The sequence below is a fragment of the Homo sapiens genome, chromosome 9 (genome assembly GCF_000001405.40).
Source record: "Homo sapiens chromosome 9, GRCh38.p14 Primary Assembly".
Taxonomy (NCBI): Eukaryota; Metazoa; Chordata; class Mammalia; order Primates; family Hominidae; genus Homo; species Homo sapiens.
In genome coordinates this window covers 123,897,744-123,915,754 of record NC_000009.12, presented here as the reverse complement: position 1 = coordinate 123,915,754, position 18,011 = coordinate 123,897,744, and the positions used below count along the sequence as shown (strand labels likewise).

The 18,011-nt window shown below is 40.6% G+C and overlaps 1 protein-coding gene across 28 annotated transcripts in view, besides 3 other annotated features; it reads left to right on the top strand.

The window, feature by feature from the left end:
- The window catches only part of DENND1A (DENN domain containing 1A), a 550,469-nt gene that overhangs the window by 14,372 nt on the left and 518,086 nt on the right, over positions 1-18,011 (top strand). The window lies entirely within an intron of this gene.
- Positions 1,039-1,128: an enhancer, noted in NCBI's record as "active region_28952". NCBI's record gives its function as "activates an Ori minimal core promoter by ATAC-STARR-seq in GM12878 lymphoblastoid cells {active_cell/tissue: GM12878}" and the evidence as "EXISTENCE:reporter gene assay evidence [ECO:0000049][PMID:35858748]".
- Positions 11,441-11,941: an enhancer, noted in NCBI's record as "NANOG-H3K4me1 hESC enhancer chr9:126666093-126666593 (GRCh37/hg19 assembly coordinates)". NCBI's record gives its function as "activates a minimal SCP1, AML or CMV promoter by ChIP-STARR-seq in naive H9 embryonic stem cells {active_cell/tissue: H9 hESC(naive)}" and the evidence as "EXISTENCE:reporter gene assay evidence [ECO:0000049][PMID:30033119]".
- Positions 11,942-12,442: an enhancer, noted in NCBI's record as "NANOG-H3K4me1 hESC enhancer chr9:126665592-126666092 (GRCh37/hg19 assembly coordinates)". NCBI's record gives its function as "activates a minimal SCP1, AML or CMV promoter by ChIP-STARR-seq in naive H9 embryonic stem cells {active_cell/tissue: H9 hESC(naive)}" and the evidence as "EXISTENCE:reporter gene assay evidence [ECO:0000049][PMID:30033119]".

The window sequence follows — 18,011 nt, the reverse complement described above, 5'->3', positions numbered from 1 at the left end:
CTTTGGAGACAAACTCTTATTAACTGACCCTATTTTTAGTTTTTCTGGTTGTTAACTCATAACCATAGATAAATCTCTCTCTGTTAATTAACTTTAGACAGTATCTGTTAACTCCTTGAAATGAAAGACAAGTAACTTTATAGTACTTCTCTCTTCTACTCATCTGATATTTTATCTATTTTGTGTTACTTTAATTTTTATAATGGTTATTAACTTAAACCTCTTTATTGTTCCATTAACCCTCAACACTGTCTTTTGATTTCACACTTTGTAAGGGGAAGGGTATTATCCTAGCTCTTCCTTCTACCTTTTCAAAGTTATGCTTTAACATTATGTGGTCATTGAAATTTTGATCCATGACCAGAATCAAATCTTCTGTGATTTGTCTTTTGGTTAATTCTAAAAGTGGAATGTTATTATGAATATTTAAATATAAGTATTTAACTCCACTAGATCGGGTAGGGTGCTAAAATAACATTTTCAGCCCATTTGAAGGAGAATGTTAATAACATCAGGGTCACAGTAATTTTTTTCTTGCAATCCATCCAGAATTGAAAATTATGCTAAATGTCTTTGGCATCATATATGGATAAGTTTGCATATATTTGTACAAAACAGCAAATTATTTGTACACTAGCCCTGTAGAGAGAGCAGCCCAGGAGATCATGCAAGTGCTTTCATCCTCATGTTGGCAGGATGGAAACCTCTACTTTGCAGCCTTTGTGGGGGCCTTGGCCTGGGTGCTAGCTTTTGGCCAGCAGAACCTGGCAACTGATGATGTTATAATCAGCATGGCTCCTGAGCTTGGGACTCAGGTTGAGATGGTTTGGATGTTTGTCGCCTCCAAATCCCATGTGGAAATGTGATTCCCAGTGTTGGAGGTGGGACCTGGTGGGAGGTGATTGGGATCGTGGGGGTGGGCCCTCATGAATGGCTTGGCATCATCCCCTTGGTGATGACTGAGTTCTTGCTCTAGTAGTTCATGATCTGGTTGTTTAAAAGAGTGTGGCTCCTCCCCCTCCCTCCCTTGTTTCACTCTCACTATGTGACACGCTGGCTCCCTGTCACCTTCAGCCATGATTGTAAACTTCCTGAGGCCTCTCCAGAAGCAGATGCCAGCACTGTGAGCCTACAGAACTATGAGCCAATTAAACCTCTTTTCTTTATCAATTACCCAGTCTTGGGTATTTCTTTTTTTTTTTTTTTTTTTGAGATGGAGTCTTGCTCTGTTGCCCAGGCTGGAGTGCAGTGGCGCGATCTCGGCTTATTGCAAGCTTGGCCTTCCGGGTTCATGCCATTCTCCTGCCTCAGCCTCCAGAGTAGCTGGAACTACATACAGGCGCTCGCCACCATGCTCGGCTAATTTTTTTTTGTATTTTTAGTAGAGACAGGGTTTCACTGTGTTAGCCAGGATAGTCTCGATCTCCTGACCTCGTGATCCACCCACCTCGGCCTCCCAAAGTGCTGGGATTACAGGGGTGAGACACTGCGCCTGGCATTGCTATAAAGAAGTCGCAGGTACTTTATAGCAATGGCAGGAACAGACCAACACAGGTGCCCTTCAAGACCTTGAGCTTGACAAAGGCCTTGATGGTCTTCATTTTATTGGCCTGTGTCTTTTGACCCTTCTTGTGTTTCTTGGCAAAGTGCATGATCCTTAAGAACTAAGGTTCTACCCGCTTAAAATATATCTTTATGATCAGGGCCTATCGATGCCATTTCTGTTTGGAACTGGTTATGTGTGGTATAGTTCTCGGACCTGACCATGTCTGCACTGCTGCCTGCAGTGCAGAAAGTGCCTGAGACTGGAAAATAAAGGTCCATATCTGGCTTTTGATTTTTTTTTTTTTTTTTTGAGATAGGAGTTTCGAGCCCAGGCTGGAGTGCAATGGCGTGATCTCAGCTCACCACAACCTCCGCCTCCCGAGTTCAAGCGATTCTCCTGCCTCAGCCTCCCGAGTAGCTGGGATTACAGGCATGCACCACCATGGCTGGCTAATTTTGTATTTTTAGTAGAGACGGGGTTTCTCTATGTTGGTCAGGCTAGTCTCGAACTCCTGACCTCAGGTGATCCACCCACCTCGTCCTCCCAAAGTGCTGGGATTACAGGCGTGAGCCACCATGCCCGGTCGGATTTTGATATTTTAAAGCAGTATTCTTTCTCTTCTTCTCCCTCTTCCAGAGTTTCTTAAATCTTTTTTTCCCTCTTGCATTATTTGCTTTTATTGTATCCTTAATTTTTTTCCACACTTGAAATTATACTTGCAGTTTTTCCAGGCTTCCCTGTACCCCTGATGGTTCCCTCCCACCTTCCTGTTAAATCCTTATAAAATTGGCTCTATTGTTATAACCCTGGAATGTCCTCTCATCACTTTTCAAGGTTGATTTGACTATTTCCTGGCCCTGTGTGATCATTTTGCTTTAATTTGTTCGCTGGAGTACATATTCAGGTTCTTATAGGAGATAGCCCCAGTAGCACCCCTGCAGAAAGAGTACATAAAAAGTAAACTGTGGGTTCTCGCATGTCTGAAAAATGTCTGCTTTCTCACAGGGGATTAGTAGTTTGTATGGGCATGGAGTTCTAGGTTGACAAAATTTCCTGCTGAACTTTGAAGGTTTTTTTTTTTTTTTTTTTTTTTTTAAACTGTCTTTGGTCTGGCTTTCTCTGACACTGCTCTGGAAGGGAAGGAGGCTGCTCTTCTTTGCTTTTCAAAGTTGGGGTGTACATTCAGGTTCCCTACTCTGCTTCCGTTGACATCCAAGGTGAAGGATTCCGTTACTACACTGTAGGGTGGGAGTTCTGGCTCCCTAGTAGGCCTCCATGGAAACCTCCATGGCTGGGTGGGGTAATGCCTTATTCTTGCTCCCACTGGGGACTCAACAGACACCACGGGGTGGAGGGGAGTGGTCTTGTCCCATTTCATCACTGGGAGGTGATAAAAATCCTTAGTCTCTGGTAGGTCTCCTCCACATGATCCAAGTGGACGTGGGAAAGGGGAACCTCGTTACTGCCAGAGGCGGTGGAAGTCCAGGGTCTCCACTGAAACCACACTGATGGGGTCATTGTTACTGCCTGGTGGGGGATGATGCAATCCCCAGCTCCCTCCTTAGCTTTCTGTAGCACTACTCTGGCGGGGGTGGGCTGGATGGGGTTCCTCATCACAGCCCAGAAACCTAGGCTTTCTCCTTGTCTTTTATGGATTTGGGTGAGGGTGGGACGACAGGGTTTCCTGTGGTGTTTGGTGAGTATTTTCTTAAAAAATTTTTTGACTTATTAGCTGCCCTTTTTGGTCCTTTGGCTAGAAGAAAGCTGGCTTTTGTTTGAGCATTTTTGGGTCTGCATCAATTGGCATTTCCAGGTTGCTGACTTCTCTGGCTCCAACAATGTGATACATGAGGCAAGGAAAAACCCAGGGGACTCATCTCTGCTCACTCCTTGGGTCCTGAGGTCACTAGCTGTTCTGCTTCTCTCTCTGCCTTTCAGAACCATCTTATGTTTGTCTTATATGTAATGTGCAGGGTTTTTTGTTATTTCTAATGTAGATTTTCTTCTGCCATTACACATATTTTTAAACTTAAATTTTTTGCTGTTATATCATTTACATACAGTAAAGTACACAGATTTTAAGGATACCACTTGATTAATTTTTAATGGTTATATACTCGTGTAATCACCATCCAGATCAAGATACAGGCTATCTCCAGCATAGTATAAGGCTTTTCATGCCCCTTCCAGTCAATACCTATTTAAAAATAATCACGGCAGGGCACGGTGGCTCAAGCCTGTAATCCCAGCACTTTGGGAGGCCGAGGTGGGCGGATCATGAGGTCAGGAGATTGAGACCATACTGGCTAACATGGTGAAACCCTGTTCTCTACTAAAAATACAAAAAAAAATTAGCCGGGCATGGTGGCGGGCACCTGTAGTCCCAGCAACTTGGGAGGCTGAGGCAGGGGAATGGCGTGAACCCAGGAGGCGGAGCTTGCAGTGAGCCAAGATCGCACCACTGCACTCCAGCCTAGGCGAGAGCAAGACTCCGCCTCAAAAAAAAAAAGAAAAAAAAAATCACTATTCTGATTTCTGTCACTGTAGCAATTTTGCCCATTCTTGAACTTCATATAAATGGAATCTTGCAGTATATGCTCATGGGTGTGGCTTCTTCTGCTCTACATTGTGTTGGTAGAATTCATCTGTGTTGTTGTATGTAATTGTAGTTCATTGTTTTTCATTGCTGCGTAGTACGATTCCCATTTTTGGCTATTATGAATAAAGTTGTTATGAATATTCTTATAGATGTCTTACAGTTAACAAAAGTGTTCCTTTCTGTTAGGTTTATACCCAGGATTGGAATTGCTTGTTCAAAATTTATAAATATGTTTAGCTTTAGTAGATTCTGACAGTTTTCCAAATTGTGTGCCAATTCATACCTCATCAGCTATATATGACAGTTCCACTTGTTTCATATCCAACACTTTATATTGTTAGTCTTTTTTAGCCATATTATTAGCCATTAATGTCATGTTTTCGTAGCTCATTGTGGTTTTAATCTGCATTTCCCTGATGACTGATTACTCATGTTAAGCACCTTTTCATATGCTTCTTGGCCATTTAGATATCTTCTTTTGTGAGGTACCTATTCAGGTCTTTTCCTGTTTTTCACTATGTTCTCTGTTCTTTTCTTACTGATTGGTAGGCATTCTTTATATTATTGAATGTGAGTACTTTGTCAGACATAAGTATTACAAAAATCTTTCTTCAGTCTGCAGCTTGCCTTTTTACACTTAATAGTGCTTGTTTTTGTTTTTGTTTTTGAGATGGAGTCTTGCTTCATTGCCCAGACTGGAATGCAATGGCTTCATCTAGGCTCACTGCAACCTCTGCCTCCCAGGTTCAAGTGATTCTTATGCCTCAACCTCCTACTGAGTAGCTGGGATTACAGGTGTGTGCCACCACGCCTGGATAATTCTTGTACTTTTAATAGAGACAGGGTTTCACCATGTTGTCCAGCCTGGTCTTGAACTCCTGACCTCAAATGATCTGCCTGCCTCAGCCTCCCAAAGTGCTGGGATTACAGGCGTGAGCCACTGGGCCCAGCCACTTAATAGTGCTTTTTGATTAACAAGAGATCTTAAGTCTATTTTATTGATCCTTTCCTTTCTTTACTTTTTGATGTGTTCTGTTTAAGAAATATTTGCCTAACCAAAGACCATGAATATACTTTTGTTTGTTTTATCCTAGAAGCTTTGTTTTACATTTTAATTTTAGTTCCGTGATGTGATCCATTTCATATGAATTTTTATGTATGATATAAGTTATACATCAAGGTTAATTCCTTTTCTTCCCTCATGTGGTTGTCCATTTGACTTAACATTTATCAAGACGATTCTTTTCCCACTCAATTTCAATGGCATCTTTCTTGTAAATCAGGTATACGTTTGTATTTCTGGACTCTGTTCTTTCCATTGCATTAATACCATGCAATCTTAATTACTGTACCTTTAAAGTAAGTCTCGTTATTTAATAGTGGAATTCTTTCAATTTTGTTATTCAGATTGTTTGGGACTATTCTAGGTCCTTTGCATGACCATATACATTTTATAATCAGCTTGTGAAATTCCACAATTTTGATGGAATTGCATTGCATCCCTAATTTGTAGAGAGTTGATATTAACAATATTGAGTCTTCTAGTTAATGAAGATGACATATCTCTCCTTACATATCTTCAATTTTTTTTCAGCAGCATTTTGTAGTTTTTAGTGCAGGGTCCTGAACATCTTTTGTTAGATTTATTTGTAGTTCTTTGATTTTTTTTCCCATACTATTGTAAATGGCATTGCTTTTTAAATGTCATTTTCTAGTTTTTACTAGCATATAGAAATACAGTAGATTTCTCTTGTATGTTGACATTGTATCCAGCAACCTTGCTAAATGTACTTAATTCTAATGATGTTTTTAGGTTTTTTTTATTTTATATGTATACAGTCAGGTTTTCTGTGAATGACAATTTTACTTCCTAGTTTTTGATCTTTATACTTTTTATTTCTTGCCTTATTTCACTGGGTAAGACCTCTGATATGATGAATAGGTTCATCTGAGTACAGATATAGTGGTCTTATACCTGAATTCAGAGGAAAGTGCTTAATATCTTACCATCTCATCAGTGTCAACCAGTATGTTGATAGCTGTTTTTCTTAGATGCCCTTGATCAGTTTGAGAAGTTTCTGTCCATTTTTACGTTGCTGAGAGTTTTTGTCATGAATGGATGTTGAATTTTACCAAATGCCTTTTCTGCATCTCTTGAGACGATTATAATTTTTCTTTTTTCCAGTTTTTTTATTTATTTTTATTTTTTATTTTATTTTATATTTTATTTTATTTTTTTATTGTTTTTTTTATTTTTATTTTTTATACTTTAAGTTTTAGGGTACATGTGCACATTGTGCGGGTTAGTTACATATGTATACATGTGCCATGCTGGTGCGCTGCACCCACTAACTCATCATCTAGCATTAGGTATATCTGCCAATGCTATCCCTTCCCACTCCCCCCACCCCACCACAGGCCCCATAGTGTGATATTCCCCTTCCTGTGTCCATGTGATCTCATTGTTCATTTCCCACCTATGAGTGAGAATATGCGGTGTTTGGTTTTTTGTTCTTGCGATAGTTTACTGAGAATGATGATTTCCAGTTTCATCCATGTCCCTACAAAGGACATGAACTCATCATTTTTTATGGCTGCATAGTATTCCATGGTGTATATGTGTCACATTTTCTTAATCCAGTCTATCATTGTTGGACATTTGGGTTGGTTCCAAGTCTTTGCTATTGTGAATAATGCCGCAATAAACATACGTGTGCAGGTGTCTTTATAGCAGCATGATTTATAGTCCTTTGGGTATATACCCAGTAATGGGATGGCTGGGTCGAATGGTGTTTCTAGTTCTAGATCCCTGAGGAATCTCCACACTGACTTCCACAATGGTTGAACTAGTTTACAGTCCCACCAACAGTGTAAAAGTGTTCCTATTTCTCCACATCCTCTCCAGCACCTGTTGTTTCCTGACTTTTTAATGATTGCCATTCTAACTGGTGTGAGATGGTATGTCATTGTGGTTTTGATTTGCATTTCTCTGATGGCCAGTGATGATGAGCATTTTTTCATGTGTCTTTTGGCTGCATAAATGTCTTCTTTTGAGAAGTGTCTGTTCATGTCCTTCGCCCACTTTTTGATGGGGTTGTTTGTTTTTTTCTTGTAAATTTGTTTGAGTTCATTGTAGATTCTGGATATTAGCCCTTTGTCAGATGAGTAGGTTGCGAAAATTTTCTCCCATTTTCTAGGTTGCCTGTTCACTCTGATGGTAGTTTCTTTTGCTGTGCAGAAGCTCTTTAGTTTAATTAGATCCCATTTGTCAATTTTGTCTTTTGTTGCCATTGCTTTTGGTGTTTTGGACATGAAGTCCTTGCCCATGCCTATGTCCTGAATGGTAATGCCTAGGTTTTCTTCTAGGGTTTTTATGGTTTTAGGTCTAACATTTAAGTCTTTAATCCATCTTGAATTGATTTTTGTATAAGGTGTAAGGAAGGGATCCAGTTTCAGCTTTCTACATATGGCTAGCCAGTTTTCCCAGCACCATTTATTAAATAGGGAATCCTTTCCCCATTGCTTGTTTTTCTCAGGTTTGTCAAAGATCAGATAGTTGTAGATATGCGGCGTTATTTCTGAGGGCTCTGTTCTGTTCCATTGATCTATATCTCTGTTTTGGTACCAGTACCATGCTGTTTTGGTTACTGTAGCCTTGTAGTATAGTTTGAAGTCAGGTAGTGTGATGCCTCCAGCTTTGTTCTTTTGGCTTAGGATTGCCTTGGCGATGCGGGCTCTTTTTTGGTTCCATATGAACTTTAAAGTAGTTTTTTCCAATTCTGTGAAGAAAGTCATTGGTAGCTTGATGGGGATGGCATTGAATCTGTAAATTACCTTGGGCAGTATGGCCATTTTCACGATATTGATTCTTCCTACCTATGAGCATGGAATGTTCTTCCATTTGTTTGTATCCTCTTTTATTTCCTTGAGCAGTGGTTTGTAATTCTCCTTGAAGAGGTCCTTCACATCCCTTGTAAGTTGGATTCCTAGGTATTTTATTCTCTTTGAAGCAATTGTGAATGGGAGTTCACTCATGATTTGGCTCTCTGTTTGTCTGTTATTGGTGTATAAGAATGCTTGTGATTTTTGTACATTGATTTTGTATCCTGAGACTTTGCTGAAGTTGCTTATCAGCTTAAGGAGATTTTGGGCTGAGACAATGGGGTTTTCTAGATATACAATCATGTCATCTGCAAACAGGGACAATTTGACTTTCTCTTTTCCTTTATTTCCTTCTCCTGCCTAATTGCCCTGGCCAGAACTTCCAACACTATGTTGAATAGGAGTGGTGAGAGAGGGCATCCCTGTCTTGTGCCAGTTTTCAAAGGGAATGCTTCCAGTTTTTGCCCATTCAGTATGATATTGGCTGTGGGTTTGTCATAGATAGCTCTTATTATTTTGAAATACGTCCCATCAATACCTAATTTATTGAGAGTTTTTAGCATGAAGGGTTGTTGAATTTTGTCAAAGGCTTTTTCTGCATCTATTGAGATAATCATGTGGTTTTTGTCTTTGGCTCTGTTTATATGCTGGATTATATTTATTGATTTGCGTATATTGAACCAGCCTTGCATGCCAGGGATGAAGCCCACTTGATCATGGTGGATAAGCTTTTTGATGTGCTGCTGGATTCGTTTTGCCAGTATTTTATTGAGGATTTTTGCGTCAATGTTCATCAAGGATATTGGTCTAAAATTCTCTTTTTTGGTTGTGTCTCTGCCCGGCTTTGGTATCAGAATGATGCTGGCCTCATAAAATGAGTTAGGGAGGATTCCCTCTTTTTCTATTGATTGGAATAGTTTCAGAAGGAATGGTACCAGTTCCTCCTTGTACCTCTGGTAGAATTCGGCTGTGAATCCATCTGGTCCTGGACTCTTTTTGGTTGGTAAACTATTGATTATTGCCACAATTTCAGAGCCTGTTATTGGTCTATTCAGAGATTCAACTTCTTCCTGGTTTAGTCTTGGGAGAGTGTATGTGTCGAGGAATTTATCCATTTCTTCTAGATTTTCTAGTTTATTTGCGTAGAGGTGTTTGTAGTATTCTCTGATGGTAGTTTGTATTTCTGTGGGATCGGTGGTGATATCCCCTTTATCATTTTTTATTGTGTCTATTTGATTCTTCTCTCTTTTTTTCTTTATTAGTCTTGCTAGCGGTCTATCAATTTTGTTGATCCTTTCAAAAAACCAGCTCCTGGATTCATTAATTTTTTGAAGGGTTTTTTGTGTCTCTATTTCCTTCAGTTCTGCTCTGATTTTAGTTATTTCTTGCCTTCTTCTATCTTTTGAATGTGTTTGCTCTTGCTTTTCTAGTTCTTTTAATTGTGATGTTAGGGTGTCAATTTTGGATCTTTCCTGCTTTCTCTTGTGGGCATTTAGTGCTATAAATTTCCCTCTACACACTGCTTTGAATGTGTCCCAGAGATTCTGGTATGTTGTGTCTTTGTTCTCGTTGGTTTCAAAGAACATCTTTATTTCTGCCTTCATTGCGTTATGTATCCAGTAGTCATTCAGGAGCAGGTTGTTCAGTTTCCATGTAGTTGAGCGGTTTTGAGTGAGATTCTTAATCCTGAGTTCTAGTTTGATTGCAGTGTGGTCTGAGAGATAGTTTGTTATAATCTCTGTTCTTTTACATTTGCTGAGGAGAGCTTTACTTCCAAGTATGTGGTCAATTTTGGAATAGGTGTGGTGTGGTGCTGAAAAAAATGTATATTCTGTTGATTTGGGGTGGAGAGTTCTGTAGATGTCTATTAGGTTTGCTTGGTGCAGAGCTGAGTTCAATTCCTGGGTATCCTTGTTGACTTTCTGTCTCATTGATCTGTCTAATGTTGACAGTGGGGTGTTAAAGTCTCCCATTATTAATGTGTGGGAGTCTAAGTCTCTTTGTAGGTCACTCAGGACTTGCTTTATGAATCTTTGTGCTCCTGTATTGGGTGCATATATATTTAGGATAGTTAGCTCTTCTTGTTGAATTGATCCCTTTACCATTATGTAATGGCCTTCTTTGTCTCTTTTGATCTTTGTTGGTTTAAAGTCTGTTTTATCAGAGACTAGGATTGCAACCCCTGCCTTTTTTTGTTTTCCATTTGCTTGGTAGATCTTCCTCCATCCTTTTATTTTGAGCCTATGTGTGTCTCTGCATGTGAGATGGGTTTCCTGAATACAGCACACTGATGGGTCTTGACTCTTTATCCAATTTGCCAGTCTGTGTCTTTTAATTGGAGCATTTAGTCCATTTACATTTAAAGTTAATATTGTTATATGTGAATTTGATCCTGTCATTATGATGTTAGCTGGTTATTTTGCTCATTAGTTGATGCAGTTTCTTCCTAGTCTCGATGGTCTTTACATTTTGGCATGATTTTGCAGCGGCTGGTACCATTGTTCCTTTCCATGTTTAGCACTTCCTTCAGGAGCTCTTTTAGGGCAGGCCTGGTGGTGACAAAATCTCTCAGCATTTGCTTGTCTGTAAAGTATTTTATTTCTCCTTCACTTACGAAGCTTAGTTTGGCTGGATATGAAATTCTGGGTTGAAAATTCTTTTCTTTAAGAATGTTGAATATTGGTCCCCACTCTCTTCTGGCTTGTAGGGTTTCTGCTGAGAGATCTGCTGTTAGTCTGATGGACTTCCCTTTGAGGGTAACCCGACCTTTCTCTCTGGCTGCCCTTAACATTTTTTCCATCATTTCAACTTTGGTGAATCTGACAATTATGTGTCTTGGAGTTGCTCTTCTCAAGGAGTATCTGTGTGGCGTTCTCTGTATTTCCTGAATCTGAACGTTGGCCTGCCTTGCTAGATTGGGGAAGTTCTCCTGGATCATATCCTGCAGTGTTTTCCAACTTGGTTCCATTCTCCCCATCACTTTCAGGTACACCAATCAGGCGTAGATTTGGTCTTTTCACATAGTCCCATATTTCTTGGAGGCTTTGCTCATTTCTTTTTATTCTTTTTTCTCTAAACTTCCCTTCTCGCTTCATTTCATCTTCCATTGCTGATACCCTTTCTTCCAGTTGATTGCATCGGCTCCTGAGGCTTCTGCATTCTTCACGTAGTTCTCGAGCCTTGGTTTTCAGCTCCATCAGCTCCTTTAAGCACTTCTCTGTATTGGTTATTCTAGTTATACATTCTTCTAAATTTTTTTCAAAGTTTTCAACTTCTTTGCCTTTGGTTTGAATGTCCTCCCGTAGCTCAGAGTAATTTGATCGTCTGAAGCCTTCTTCTCTCAGCTTGTCAAAGTCATTCTCCATCCAGCTTTGTTCCGTTGCTGGTGAGGAACTGCGTTCCTTTGGAGGAGGAGAGACGCTCTGCGTTTTAGAGTTTCCAGTTTTTCTGTTCTGTTTTTTCCCCATCTTTGTGGTTTTATCTACTTTTGGTCTTTGATGATGGTGATGTACAGATGGGTTTTTGGTGTGGATGTCCTGTTTGTTAGTTTTCCTTCTAACAGACAGGACCCTCAGCTGCAGGTCTGTTGGAATACCCTGCTGTGTGAGGTGTCAGTGTGCCCCTGCTGGGGGGTGCCTCCCAGTTAGGCTGCTCGGGGGTCAGGGGTCAGGGAACCACTTGAGGAGGCAGTCTGCCCGTTCTCAGATCTCCAGCTGTGTGCTGGGAAAACCACTGCTCTCTTCAAAGCTGTCAGACAGGGACATTTAAGTCTGCAGAGGTTACTGCTGTCTTTTTGTTTGTCTGTGCCCTTCCCCCAGAGGTGGAGCCTACAGAGGCAGGCAGGCCTCCTTGAGCTATGGTGGGCTCCACCCAGTTCGAGCTTCCTGGCTGCTTTGTTTACCTAAGCAAGCCTGGGCAATGGCGGGCGCCCCTCCCCCAGCCTCGCTGCCGCCTTGCTGTTTGATCTCAGACTGCTGTGCTAGCAATCAGCGAGACACCGTGGGTGTAGGACCCTCTGAGCCAGGTGCGGGATATAATATCGTGGTGCGCCGTTTTTTAAGCCGGTCCGAAAAGCGCAATATTCGGGTGGGAGTGACCCAATTTTCCAGGTGCATCCGTCACCTCTTTCTTTGACTCGGAAAGGGAACTCCCTGACCCCTTGCGCTTCCCAAGTGAGGCAATGCCTCACCCTGCTTCAGCTCGTGCACGGTGCCCGCACCCACTGACCTGCGCCCACTGTCTGGCACTCCCTAGTGAGATCAACCCGGTACCTCAGATGGAAATGCAGAAATCACCCATCTTCTGTGTTGCTCACGCTGGGAGCTGTATACCGGGGCTGTTCCTGTTCGGCCATCTTCTTTTTTTCCAGTTTTTTTTTTTTTTTTTTTTTTTTTTTGAGACGGAGTCTCGCTCTGTCGCCCAGGCTGGAGTGCAGTGGCGGGATCTCGGCTCACTGCAAGCTCCGCCTCCCGGGTTCACGCCATTCTCCTGCCTCAGCCTCCCAAGTAGCTGGGACTACAGGCGCCCGCCACTATGCCCGGCTAATTTTTTGTATTTTTAGTAGAGATGGGGTTTCACCGTTTTAGCCGGGATGGTCTCGATCTCCTGACCTCGTGATCCGCCTGCCTCGGCCTCCCAAAGTGCTGGGATTACAGGTGTGAGCCACCGCGCCCGGCCTTTTTCCAGTTTTATGTAGTGAATTACATTTATTTTCAAATGTTAAACCAGCCTTGCATTCCTGGGATAAACCCACTTGGTCATGTTATACTATTCTTTTTTGGATATTATTATATTCCATTTACTAATATTTTGTTTTATGTTTACATCTGTATTCATAAGAGATTTTGGCTACAATTTTTTTTTTGTAATCTTGTCGGATTTTGATATCAAGGTTACATTGGCCTTTTTAAAAAAAAAAAAAACAGCTGTTGTTACTTGTCTTGTTCTCCTCTTCCTTGCAGCTTTTTGTTCCTGTTTTATAGAGGTGGTGTTTTTTTTTTCTCTGTTCTATTTAAGGATGTCAGTTTCCTGAAGCATATTTCTTAATCTTTTTCAGAAATATATTCGTCTTCCAAGAGATGATGATGCTTTTCTCTCATTTGCAATGTTTTTTGACAGATCTTTTATTTTTCACTTGCTTTCTTGAGTAAGGAGAGCTCTATCTAGATTTGCTGTTTTGCCACAGGTGGTTGAATGGGTTACCATGGGCACTGTTCTTTGTGCTTGCGAGTGATGGTCAGATCCCCTTCTCAGATCTGTGGCTGAAGAACTGGTTTATGTTCATTGTTCCTAGTTGAATTCCTAGTAACTAGCAGGCATTTGCACCACGAAGGTAGAACTTTATTGCCTTACAGAATAAGCTGAAATTTCTAGAGTGCATTCTGTTAGAATTATTCCTGTCTCTGCTTTCACTGAACTTTTTGTGTGTAATTATTATAACCAATGTAACTAATTTTAATTCAAGAGATTAGGTAGCTCTGCCTGTTTATTAGTCTCTCTCTGTCTCTACGTGTGTGTGTATGTGTGTGTGTGTGTGTGTGTGTGTGTGTGTGTATGTGTGTGTGTGACCCATGAGTATAACCAGGACTGAAGGGTAAAATGACTGAAGGTGGAAGACAAATGAACCTGTTATTATAGAAGAGAGGTCATGAGGGCCGATATTTGGATATTTTCTTTTGCTTTACATGACATCGCCTTTATTTTTATTTATTTATTTATTTTTGAGACGGAGTCTTGCTCTGTCTCCCAGGCTAGAGTGCAGTGGCGCGATCTGGGCTCACTGCAAGCTCTGTCTCCCGGGTTCACACCATTCTCCTGCCTCAGCCTCTCGAGTAGCTGGGACTACAGGCGCCCACCACCGTGCCCAGCTAATTTTTTTTGTATTTTTAGCAGAGATGAAGTTTCACTGTGTTAGCCAGGATGGTCTCGATCTTCTGACCTCGTGATCCACCCGCCTCAGCCTCCCACAGTGCTGGGATTACAGGCAGACATCACCTTTATTTTAAGAGTCCAGGTGTCAGTGAGAATTATCAAGATGTAGCATCAGAAGATTAGAAGGTCTTCACAACCACATGATGAGGACTCTAGAGTTTGTAGCCTGGGTGATTGAGAGAAAGACGTGGCAGAACTAGGATTAAAAATAGGGAAATTGAGATTTTTCTAGGGAAATAAATGATTGCTTTGATATGGGTTATATTAAGTGTGAGGAGCTTTCCAGGGGCAGGTGACATTTAGACCTGAATGAAGTTCATGACAGTGGAAACTAAAGTTATAGTTTGGGAATCGCAGAGTGTGGTGATAGTGGGAATGAAAGAAACTTCATGAATTTTTAATAGGAGGGTAGAGGGCAGGAGAGAGGGAATAGTCTGTAAGATGTTGGGGACATCTCACATCCTAAATGCAAATATCTAGCCTTGTTGCTTCATGCACTCATCTCTCCGCTGATGTTCCCTTGGTCCAGGGCACCATCTTCTCCTACCTTAATGGCTGTAATTCCTCCTGACTGGGCTCTTTCTACCACTTTGACTCTTCCAGTCCAGTCTCTGTACAGTATCCAGGGTGAGCCTTCCAGAAGACCAATCTGAACATGTCAGTTGACTGCTTAAAATCCTTCAGCTGCTCTCCATGCTTCCAGATTAAAATCCATACACCTAATATGGCTTTAAGGCCCTTTGAGACCTCAACTCTGTCTGTTAGTATAAAAATAACACAAATTGAATAACCAAAATTTATTGAACTCTTTTGAACTTTAGAACTTATTCCAAATAGTTTATATTTGTTGTCTTGTTAAATTTTCATGTTTATTCTTTGAGTTTATCCTTATTAACAATCCTATGGAGAAGGTACTGTTAGATCCCCATTTTACAGATGAGAAAGTCACAGAGAGGTTTCCAGTTGCACAAGGTCACAGAGCTATCAAGTGTGGAATGAATAAATTTACATCATTATGTTATTTAATCCTCTCCATAATCCTATGAAGTAAGTATTTTTATCACTGCCCTTTACAAATGAAGTGACTGAAGTCAGAGATGTTAGGCCGTTTGTGTGGTGGAGCTGCAACTGGAGCCCAGATCGATGTGATTCTAAGTGTATTTTGTCTTCCATGCTAGTCTGACCGCAGCCTCATTGATAGCACCCCTCACCTCTCACCTTAATCACACGTGTAGATTCCCTTGTTTAACTTCTGCTCATTCTTTAGGTTTCAGCTCAATTAGAGCTCTGGCTGAGAACCCTTAAGCGAGCATCCCCTTTACCCTCCTGCCGCACTTGAAGGCACTTTGTTATCATCACTGGCTGTTAGTGTTCTTTGATTGTCTTTCTCATAGTGTGTGGGCTTCATGAAGTCAGGTACTGTGAGCCTCTTGCTCACTGTTAAACCTTGAGTGACTTGCACTGTATGTGGCACATAACGGTACTCAGTTGCTGTATATTGCATAATTACATAAATGTTTAACTCAGTGATGCAGTTTGGTGTTGACTGGGTTTCGTTCTTAAAAGAATATAATCAGTAGTCTATTTATATGTTTAACTCCCAGGATTTATATTTGTGATGGTTCCAGATAACTGATAATCCCCAAATCATGTGGCTTTAGCAATCCGCTTTAGGAGTATAAATATTTATATTTCTGTTATTTTTCTTAGGCTAATGTTGTGCTTTATCTATGGTGTAAATACTGATAATCAGAAGAGAATGGCAATCCAGAACGTGCTGGTTTAACTGGTGAATGTAGCCTAGGCTGTCTCACTTGTGACTAGAATACAAAGTCAGTTATTCTTACAGTGATCATTGAAAGTTATTCCTATTCCACCTATAAGCTGGTTATTCTCTTTGCTACCACAGGATAAGTAGTTATAGCCTGGAATTGAGGAGAAAGAAATTTATAGTGTCCCAATGGCCTACTTTTTAATATTTTCTCAGGCAAATTGGTCTGACCTTTCCTACCTTGGTCTGACTTCCTCATAGGAAAAGTTTCACATTGCACAGGAAAGAACAATTTAGCAGGAATATAAGTTGCAAATTATTAGTTCAGTGGTACTCAAGCATGTTCAGGTGATGAAGTACCTAAAAGTCATGGTATTCTGTGGAATACTATGAAATATTTATATATTAAACTTTACATTTTTTCCCTAAATCAGATATTATTTTATATTACATTCCAGAATAGACAGGGAGTAGCAGGTGATAAAGGTTTAAGAAAAATTTGTGGTAAGAAAACTTAAAATTATATTACCTTATTTTTTCATGCAAATTGGGAAAAGGCCATTTTTGGCACCTTTGTCTAGCTTCCAAACCTCCAGCATTTAAGGTAGTGTAGTTAGAGAACCATTAAATTAATTGAATATGGGGGAGAGAGGAGAAGCTGAAATGAAAGGTGATGATATCAAGGTTTCCAATTTGGGCCTCATAATACCCTTCATAGACACTGGCGAGTCAGGAGGGAGAACTGGCATTGAGGTCGAGAAGGATGAATTTGGTTGATTGTAAACTAATGATAGGCTGAGGAGAGAGATGCAGTAGACAGAAGAGAAGCACAGTGCCTGTCACCTAGCATGGTTCTCAATAATTATTGGCTGCCATTTGTCACCAGGAAGATAGTGTAGAGATTTGGAAATTATGGGCATGAATGAATAAGAACTGTTTTCAGGCTGAATATAGTGAAGTGAGTTTCAAGATTTGAGCCTCGGGGAATAGAAGAGACAAAGTTAAGCCTTGTAGAATGCTGTTGGGAAGTCAGTGGAAGTGGAAATTCAGAAAGGGTGATTTGGTTTAATGGTGGGTTGTGGATGTTCTGTGAGGAGATATAGTCTCAGTAATGTGTTGCCTTTATTCATTCATCTAAAGCAGAAATCTAGGAATTACCTTTGATACCTTCCATGTTATTTTATCCCCCTAATCTAATGATAAGGTGCTGTCAAGTTTACCTTCTTAAGTAGGACACAAAGAGCACACTGTAAAAGAGTAAACTGAACTTTATCAAAATTAAAGTCTTTTGCTCTTCAAAACCTGTCATTAAGAAAATGAAAAGACAAACCACAGACTTCTAAAAAACACATGCATTTGGCCAGTTCTTTCTATTTCCATTTCCACCTTCATGTAAAACATATATCAGCTGGGCATGTTGGCTCACGCCTGTAATTTTGGGAGGCTGAGGCAGGAAGATTGCATGAGCCTAGGAGTTTGAGACTAGCCTGGGCTAATAGGGAGACCCTGTCTTTACAAAAGAAAAAAAAAATAGCTGGATGTGGTGGTGCATGGCTGTAGTCCTGGCTACTTGGGAGGCTGAAGGGGAAGAATTGCTTGAGCCAGGAGGTTGAGGCTGCAGTAAGCTGTGTTCATGTCATTGCACTCCAGTCTGGGCTACAGAGTGAGACCCTGTCTCAAAAAATAAAATAAAAAATAAAATGTATCATATTATATGTACATATGAGACCCTCATAACTCAATAAGACAATCCAATAAAAATGGACAAAAGATTTGAAAAGAGTATTAAAGAAGATATACAAATGGAAAATAAGTGCAAGAAAAAATGCTCAGCATCATTTTAGTCATTAGGAAAATGCAAATTAAAACTACAGTGAGAAAGCTCCTACACCCCCAATAGAATGGCTAAAATTACAAAGTCTGGGCTGGGCACAGGGCTTACACTTAGGTGGGAGGATTGCTCAAGGATACAGGACTTTGAGACCCTACCTTTAAATTAAAAAAAAATTTTTTTTAGTTGTTGACTAGGATGTATGTATGTAGAAGAAGAGGACCTGTGGACCTTTTTTTTTTTTTTTTTCCGCTTGAGACAGGGTCCTACTCTGTTGCCCGGAGTGGAGTGGCAGAACCATGGCTCACTGCAGCCTTGAACTCCTGGGCTCAAGCAGTCCTCTTAAGTAGCTGTGCACACTGCCACATCTGCCTAATTTTTAAATTTTTGGTGGAGACTGGGTCTTGCTATGCTCCCCAGGCTGGTCTTGAACTCCTGGCCTCAAGCGATC